Source organism: Homo sapiens, chromosome 13, assembly GCF_000001405.40.
Source record: "Homo sapiens chromosome 13, GRCh38.p14 Primary Assembly".
NCBI classification, from domain to species: Eukaryota; Metazoa; Chordata; class Mammalia; order Primates; family Hominidae; genus Homo; species Homo sapiens.
The window spans coordinates 55,962,437-55,972,470 of NC_000013.11; the positions used below are offsets into that span (position 1 = coordinate 55,962,437).

The window sequence follows — 10,034 nt, forward strand, 5'->3', positions numbered from 1 at the left end:
AGAAAAAATTTAAACAACAAAAACCAGATAGGAAAGAACAAACATTACACTAGATCTCACAGAAAGAAAAAGCATTATAAGAGACTGCTAGGGACAATTAGATGCTAAATTTGATAACCTAGAAGAAATGCATAAATTTATAGAAACGTACAACATATCAATCCTCAATCATGAAAAAATAAAAAAAAAATTGAACAAACCTAAATAATAATGAGACTAAATCGGTAAAAACAAAAACCTCTCATCAAAGAAAAGCCCAAGACAAGGGATAATTCTACCAAACATTTGAAGAAGAATTAACGCCAATATTTAAAGTCCTCTGTGTTAGGGTTCTCTAGAAGGATGGAACTAACGGGATCTATGTATATGTAAAAGGGAGTTTATTAAGGAGAATTGACTCACACGGTCACAAGGCGAAGTCCCATGATAAGCTGACTACAAGTTGAGGAGCAAGGAAGCCAGTAGTGGCTCAGTCTGAGACCCAAAACCTCAAAAGTAGGGAAGCCGACAGTAGAGCCTTCAGTCTGTGGTGGAAGGCTTGAGAGCCCCTGGCAAACCGCCGGTGTAAGTCCAACAGTCCAAAAGCTAAAGAGCTTGAAGTTTGATGTTCGTGGGCAGGAAGAATCAGTATGGGAGAAAGACGAAGGTGGGAAGACTCAGCAAGTCAGATTCTTCCACCTTCTTTTGTCTGCTTTTCCTAGCTGCTCTGGCAAATTGGACGGTGCCCAACCACACTGTGAGTGGGTCTTCCTGAGGGTCGGTCTTCCTTTCCCAGTCCACTGACTCAAATGTTAATCTCTTCTGGCAGATACACCCAGAAACAATACTTTGCATTCTTCCATCCAATAAAGTTGATACTTAATATTAATCATCACGTCCACCAAAGTAAATAAATAAATAAATAAGTAAATAAATAAATAAGAATGCTTTACATTTATTCTGTGAGGCCAGTCTTACTTTGATACCAAATTCAGACAATGGAAGGGGGCCGGAGATGGCAGACTAGAGGCAGCTAATGTACACCACTCTTGTAGAGAGGAAAGATCTGAGAAACCATGTTAGGATCCATCAAGGCAGCCAGGGAACACAGAGAAGAGAGGAGCAAAGTTGGACACCAGCCTGTCTGTACTCAGCACAGAGCCAGAAAAACCTCTCTAACATGGGAAAGGGTGAGTGAGTGAGAGCCCCCAGGGATTAACGCTTTCTATAGAGAATGGGAGAATCAACCCGGCCCCCCCACCACACTTTTAGACTGAGGCAGAGAGCCACCTGGACATTTTGCAGGGCAAATCCTGAGTCCAAGCAGACCTCCACAAAGCTTGGGTCCCAGAGCAGACCAGCACTGGTGTCACAGCCCCAATAGAGGCTGCAGTTGCAGTACTCGGGAAAACTAACATTGCTCCACCACCACTTGTTAGCCAGGGCTCTGCACGAGCTTCCAGACCAGCCATCTTGCTTTGGCCCAAACCTGGCCTGCCATCCCTTCCACCCCTGCCACTGGTAACCAACAGGAAACTCTACCTAGAGCTATTGGCCCAGCAGTCCCACTTTTGTGAAAACTCATCTGGAGGGCGCAGTCTCCTGTAGTAATGGGAAATATCCTGATGTCAGAGCAAGAGACCCCACTCACCCCTGCCACTGGCAGTCAGGTGGTAGGTGCCTGCTAGAGCCTCTGACCCAATGGCCCAACTTCTGTGTGAACTCAGCAGGAGGGTGTAGCTTCCTGTTGACACAGGAAACACCCAGACAGCAGAGCAAGAGACCACACCCACCTCCACCACTGGTATCCAGGCAGGCAATGCCTGCTGGAGCTTCTAGCCCAGCAGCTTTTCTTCTACACAAATCCAGCTGGAGGGTAGAGAGTCCTGTTGTCCCAGGAAACACCAGGATGGCAGGGTGTATGACCTAATAGCCAGGCAGGCAAAACCTGCTAGAGCTCCCAGCCCAGTGGTCTTATGTGTGCCTGAATTTGCCAAGGGGTGCAGCCTACTCTTTCCCTGGAAACACTCAGAGGACAGACATGGCAGTCTCACCCAACCAGACCCCCAGGTTGTTTTCCATAATTAACCTCATAAAGCTGACAAACACAGTACAAGTATTTCATAACACACTTTCAAGTATTAACAGCAGAATAGACAAAGCTGAGGAGAGCATCTCAGAGCTGGAAGGTCCTTTGCAGGAAAATGGATGGAACTAGAGGCCACCATCCTTAGCAAACTAACATAGAAGCAGGAAACCTAATACCACAGGTTCTCACTTATAAGTGGGAGCTAAATAAAGAGAACACATGGACAGACGGGAACAACGGACACTGGGGCCTACTTGAGGATGATAGGTGAGAGGAGAAAGAGGTTCAGAAACAAAAAAAAAACTGCTGGGTGTTATGCTTAGTAACTGGGTGATGATATAATCTGCACACCAAACTCCTGAGTCAGAAGTTTACCTATATAAGAAATCTGCACATGTACCCCTGAACCTAAAACAAAATTAAAATATTTTTTAAATTAGATGATTTCACAAGAAAAGAATACTAAAGATTGATATCCCTAGATAAATATTAATGCAAAAATCCTCACCAAACACTAGCAAACCAAATTTAACAACACATTAAAAGGATTATTCATTATAACCAAGTGAGATTTATTTATAAAATGCAAAGATGTTTCAGTATACTGAAACCAATCAATAAAATACACATTAAAATAATGAAGAATATAACCACATTATACTTTCAATTGATTCAGAAAAAGCATTTGGCAAAATTCAAATATGTTTCATAATAAAACACTCAATGAAGTAGAAACAGAAGGAAATTACGTCAATATAATCAAGGCCAAAATATATTCACATCTTTAACATTATTCTCAATGGTAAAAACTATTTACCTCTAAGATCAGAAACAATAAATGTATGTCTAATATCACCATTTCTATTCAACATAGTAGTAGAAGTCTCAACCACAGCAATCATGCAAGAAAAAGAAATAAAAGTCATCTAAATAAGAAAGAAAGAAGTAGAATTATCTCTATTTGCTAATTACATAATTCTGTGTGTAGACAACCCCCTTTCAGTGGAATACTACAAGAGCTAATAAATGTAGCAGTTTCAGTATACAAAGTCAATATGTGTACATTAGTTGCATGTACATACACTTAGAATGAATAAGCCAAGAAGAAAATTTGATGTTTACCATAGCATCAAAAAAATTAAAAACAAATGTATCAAAGGAGGTGAAAGACTTCTATACATAAAGCTACAAAGCATTGCTGAAAGAAATTAAAGACACAAATAAATGGAAAGAAATCTTGTGTCCACAGATTGGAAGATCTAATATTGTCAAATGTCCATACCCAACCAGAGATGTAATACAATTTCTAGCAAATTCCTAATGCATTTATTTTAGAAATTTTTAAAATCCTAAAATTCATATAAAACCACAAAGGACCCCAAACAGCTAGAAAGAGCCAAAAAAAAAAAAAAATCTTGAGCAAAAACAAAGTTGAAGGCGTTATACTTTGTGACTTCAAAAAATATTACAAAGCTATATTTACCAAATAGTTTGGTAATGACATAAAGACAGGCTTATGGACCAATGCCATACAGAACAGAGAGCCCCAAAATAAACTTTTGTGTGTATGGTCAAATGGTCTTCAGCTAAAATGCCAACATTACATAATGGGAAAATGATCATCTCTCTTCAACAAATGATGTTGGAAGAACTGTATTTCTACATATAAAATAATGAATGTATTTCTACATATAAAATAATGTATGTATTTCTACATATAAAATAAAATAATGTATAACATATACAATTAATGATGTTGGAAGAACTGTATTTCTACATATAAAATAAATTGGACCTTTGCCTTAGATTATACGTAAGAATTAATACAAAATAGATTAAAGAAGTAAACAAGTGACCCAGTCCTGTAAAACTCTTAGAAAAAGCATAAGGTAAAAGCCTCACGACATTGGATTTGGCATGATTTCCTGCATATGATACCAAAAGCACAGACAACAAAACCAAACATAGACAAATGGATTTACATCAAGCTAAACCAATTTTTTACAGTGAATAAAACCATTAACACAGTGAAAAAGTGACTCACAGAATGGGAAAAATTGCTTGAAAACTGTATATCTGATAAAGAGTTGATACCTAGTTAATAACTACATATATTCTACAACTCAAGAACAACAAAAATTCAAATAAAAAAAGGAGAACTTGAAAAGACATTCCCTTTAAAGATATACAAGGCTGAGCATGGTAGCTCACGCCTGTAATCCCAGCACTTTGGGAGGCCGAGGCAGGTGGATCACCTGAGGTCAGGAGTTCGAGACCAGCCTGGCCAACATGGTGAAACCCCGTCTCTACTAAAAATACAAAAATTAGCCGGGCATGGTGGCAGGCACCTGTAATCCGAGCTACTCAAGAGGCTGAGTCAGGAGAATCACTTGAACCCAGGAGGCGGAGGTTGCAGTGAGCTGAGATCATGCTATTGTACTCCAGCCTGGGGAACAAGAGCAAGACTTCATCTCAAAGAAAAAAAAAAAGATATACAAATGGCATACATTATACGAAAAAAAATGGCCAACATAAGTAATTACTATAGCAATACGAAACAAACCACAAAATATTACTTCATGCTCCTTATGACGGGCACTATCTAAAAAACAAAAACTTACAAGTGTTGGCAAGGATGTGGAGAATTTGGAATATGTGGGCACTTTTGGTGAGAATATAAAACAGTACAACCACTATGGAAAACAGTACAAACATTCAGCAAAAATTTAGAAATAGAATTACCACATAATTTCGCAATCCCACTTTTAAGTATATATCCAAAAGAATTGAAAGCAGAATCTCAAAGAAATGTTTGCAAACCCATATTCATTGTAGCATTATTCATGATAGCCAAGAGATAGACAACCAAAATGCCCATCAACAGATGAATGGATAAAGAAAATGTAATATACATATACTATGCAATATTATTTAGCCTTCCAAGAGAACTCATTCCCGTTATACGCTACAACGTGGCTGAAACTTGAGGATATTATGCTGTATGAAATAAGCTAGTAACAAAAAAGACAAATACTGCATGTTATACTTCTATATTGTATCTAAAACCATCAAACTCTTAGAAACAGGCTGGGAGAATTTTTAAAGGGGAGTTGTCGTTGAGTATATAGAGAGTCTCAGTACTGCAAGATAAAAAAGAACAGAACAGTTCCCTTCAGATTGTTCTTAATTATATAGACTGAAATTGTGAATTGTATTCAAAATTATAAAACGTTTGTGCGTGATTTTTATGAATCATGGAATATATTTTGCTATATATGCCAACAATTTTAGCTTACCAGATTTCATTGAACACGTAAAAATCAGTCATAAATGTACTTAAATGTGTACTGAAAAATAAAATATTCTGCAAATATAGGTTAAATTTATTTAAACAGAAAGTGTATTTAATTAAACAGCATTCTTATAAAGTTTGGCATTGTGATTTCAGCTGCCATATTATTCCCTAGAATAGCTATGAACAGTAATTTCATTGAGTTTGGAGGTGATACTAATTTAAAAGATGGTATCAGTATTGCTAATAGTAATATGATGTACTATCTTTACCAAATAAAACTAGACTAAAATAAATTTTATTTATTTTAGAATAGGAACAATTGACAAAAATTTATCTTGAAAGATGGCAAGACGCTGAATAAAATAAAACCAAATGGAACACCTAAATTTAAATAAATTTCCCATGAATAGGAAATTATTCTATGAATGTAGAGAAGAAATGAGGAGAAAACAGATATAGAATTTTTCTCTTTTTTTTTGAGATGGAGTCTTCCTCTGTTGCCCAGGCTGGAGTGTAGTGGCACGATCTCAGCTCACTGCAAGCTCTGCCTCCCGGGTTCACGCCATTCTCCTGCCTCAGCCTCCCGAGTAGCTGGGACTACAGGCGCCCGCCACAACGGCTGGCTAATTTTTTGTATTTTTAGTAGAGACGGGGTTTCACCTAGCATTTTTAAGATATAGACTTATTTTCTTTTTTTATAAGCTGATAGAAACTCTTTACCATTTTCTATCTTCTTTATATTTTCTATTTAAATGACTTTATGTGATAAGATATTGTTGATTTGTTGTAGCTTTTTTCATATATTTGCTAAACCCAAAAAAGGGAGAGAATATATTTGAGTGAAAGACACTACGTTTTAAGTTGCAATTTCAATTCTGTATTGACACAGAACTGAACCTGAAAGGTTTAGAGTGAATATACTAAGATTAAAATAGAAACCAAAAGAACACTATACCAAAGACATTTATTTTGTTTTTGACTCCTCCCTTAGCAGTAATCCTGGTTTAGGCCTGTGGTCTTGGAATTATTGCTTCTCTGGTGCTCTTTTATTCTTTAAAATGTCTCAACTTAGAGAATAAATTATATGGTCAGTCTATTTATAAATCCTTTAACATATAAATTACATTTGCTGCAGTTTTTAACTCCGTGTTTGTGTTAGAATGTGAGTGTGTGTGTTGGAGTGTGAGTGTTTGTGTGTATGGGTAGAACTGTGACTCAGGATTAATATCACATTGTATAAGGCAAGTAAGAATCAGTAATGTACAGACTGGTTAAGATACAGCATAAATATAGTGACTATATGTAATAACAATGTCTTGTGTACTTGAAAACCTTTAAGAGGATAGATAAGTGTTCTTCCCACAAATAATAGTATGTGAGGTTATGTTTATGTTATTTAGCTCAGTTTAGCCATTTCACAATATATATATATTTCAAAGTGACATATTGTACATAATATGCACAATTTTTGCTTAAATCTTCAAAAGAAGACAAATGGCCAAGCATATGAAATAATATTCGACATCACTATCATTAGAGAAATGCAAATTAAAAGCACAATGAGATAGTATCCTACCCGTCAGAATGGCTATTAGTAAAAAGTGAAAAAATAAAAGATATTGCCAGAATGTGGAGAAAAAGGAACTCTAATCCACTATTGGTGAGAATGTAAATTAAGATAACCTCTATGGAAAATAGAATGGAGATTTCTCAGAGAACTCAAAATATTAGGTTGCTGCAAAAGTAATTGCGGTTTTTGCCATCGAAAATAATAGCAAAAACTGAAATTACTTTTGCTCCACTGTAAGAGACCTACCACTCAATCTAGTGGGTATCTACCCATAAGAAAATAAGTCATTCCAACTAAAAGATAACTGCACTCATATGTTTATTGTAGCACTACTCACAGAAGCAAAGATGCGAAAGCAAGCTAAGTGTCCATCAACAGATAATTAGATAAAATATGGTGTATATACACAATGGAATGATATTAAGCCATAAAAAACAATAGAATCATGTATTTTGCAGCAATACATTTGGAACTGGAGGCCTTTGTCTTAAGTGAGACTCAAACACAGGAAGACAAATACTGCATGCTTTCACTTATAAGTGGGAGCTAAATAATGTGTATACATGAACATAGACTGTGGAATGATAGACAATGAAGACTCAAAGGGTTAGGGGAGGTGAGAGAGAGATGAGTGATGGAAATTATTTAATGGGTACAAGGCACATTATTTGGGTGATGGATACACTAAATGCCTAGACATCACCACTGCACAATATATCCATGCAACAAAATTGCACTTGAGACCCTTACATTTATACAAATTTTGAAAAGTTTATAGATCTAGTCATATAAATATATCAGTCAACAAAACCTGTCTCAAATCAAAAGCAGCCTCAGGACCTTTTCACTAATCTATACGTAAAGAATTCCAAGGAGATTTAGTCCAAATGGGGGAGTGTCAAAAACAAACAAAAAAGAAAAAAATAATTCCAAGGGAAATATCACCACAATCTGAAAGCCCACACATGCCATTCCACATAAAAGTAGGAAAACATTAATTTTGTTCTTTAACAAAACTGAATTAAAATGAAACTCAACTAATTAAACTAAAATTGCACATCTCTATAACTCTGTCCTTACAATATGCAAATATTTGTAACAATCTCAGTAATAAAATGGGAGAATAGTACTTTCCCATACAGATTATGGTAAGTCCTTAATAATAGAGATGAAACTAACTTGTGAAATGATATAAATCACAATAAAGGGGAGAATGCCATGTAGTTATTTTTCTGTGTATGTTTGCATATAAAATTGCTCTTCTAACCTATTTCTGAATCAGATTAATGATTCTTAATTACATTAAGTCTACTGTTTCCCTCAGAAGCTTATGTATTTTTTGTTTGTAAGGTTATTTTTTGTTTTGTTTGTTAATTTTAATTCATGTTTGGGTTCTGTAATAACAGTTTACCCCTATTTAGAAGGCAAATCCATCCACTAGGAATGGGTGTGTTCATTATTTCTTTTCTTACAAAATATTTTTAAGTGTGTCTTATTTGTATCCCAGTAATATAATTTTTATTTCCCAAAAATTTTTGTAATCACAGCATAGATGATGAATCAAAGTCATAAATGTTTGAAAAATTAAATAGTAAAATATATTAGTTTTTCACAGAAGATCTCTTGGAAACACTTCCTATATCTTCTATAAACTTATCTTCTACAATTAATTGGCTATAAGTTTCTCACATGTGGCCAAGAACATTTGGTGACTCAGAACATATTTAGTGTTCAATATCATGACTGAGATATCTGGGACTCCTGGACTAAAATAAAAGATAGGAGAAAAAAAATACTCCAAAGAAAACTTAAGTTCTTTTCTCTATTTTATTGATTTATTTTTGCAAACTACTATCTGTAAGTGGTTATGGGAAATTGAAAATTTTCAAAATTTCACCAGAAAAATGAATCAGAACTTCTATCTGAGTTCCAAAGCTTGTTCTCATTTAGAATGTCTCTGTAACTTCATCTATCCCATGATTTACATGTGCTCAGATTAAAAATCTTAGTGGTAGGCATTAATACTCTTCAAGAATGGTCTGATTCTCTTTGATGCACATCTTAAAATTTTCTTTTCAATTGATTTCATGTTAGGTGTTGTCATGAGACTTACTTTGGACAATGGAATATGAGTGATAATGGCCAGTACTCAATTTATCATCCTCCACCAATCTCTCTCTCTGTTTTTAATCAGCCGAAGAGAACAGACAAGTTCTCAATAGTGGCTGCTCCATCTGCCTGGGTCTGAGAGTAAAGGGAATAGTAGGCCTCCTAGGGAGAGGAGGGTGGATGGAATTAGAGGTGTCAACCATGTTAGCTTGTTTCAGGTGCGAGATAGTAGCAAGGTTGTGGTGCTGGAGTTTAAGTTGAGTAATAGAAATGCGGTAATACAAAGCAGAATGCCCAGCCAGCTTGAAATTGACAGATGTTTATATAAAAATTGAACCTTTATTTTTTAAGTTAATAAGTTTGTTTTTATTATTGATATTATCATGGCATAACCTTATGTATCATGTATGAATCATCAATCTACACATGCCATCAATGAAAAATACTTGGGAAGAGAATGGGAGGGGGGCAAGGGTTACAAAAATAAAAAGAAAATTACCTACTGGGTACTATGCTCAGTACACAGGTGATCCAATTAATCATACTCCAAACCTCAGCATCACAAAATATACTCAAGTGATATGATTTGGATCTGTGTCCCCACCAAATCTCCTATTGAATCGTAGTCCCATTGTTGAAATTGGGTCTGGTGAGAGGGTTTGAGTGATGGGGTCAGATCCCTCATTGCTTGCTGTCCTCCTAAAAGTGAGTGAGTTCTTGCAAGATCTGGTTATTGAAAAGTATGTGGCACTTCCCCTACACTCTCTTCTTGCTCCTGACATGTGACTTGCATCCTCCTGCTTTGACTTCCAACATGAGTAAAAGCTCCCTGAGGCCTTCCCAGAAGCCAAGCAGTTGTGAGTGTCATGCTTGTGTTGCCTGCAGAACCAGGAGCCAATTAAACCTCTTTTCTTTATAAATTACTCAGTCTCAAGTAATTCTTTACAGCAATACAAGAATAGCCTAACATACTAGGTAAAAAATCCCACACA

General features: G+C 36.0%; 1 annotated feature.

The window, feature by feature from the left end:
* Positions 1,795–2,295: an enhancer, noted in NCBI's record as "H3K27ac hESC enhancer chr13:56538365-56538865 (GRCh37/hg19 assembly coordinates)". NCBI's record gives its function as "activates a minimal SCP1, AML or CMV promoter by ChIP-STARR-seq in naive H9 embryonic stem cells {active_cell/tissue: H9 hESC(naive)}" and the evidence as "EXISTENCE:reporter gene assay evidence [ECO:0000049][PMID:30033119]".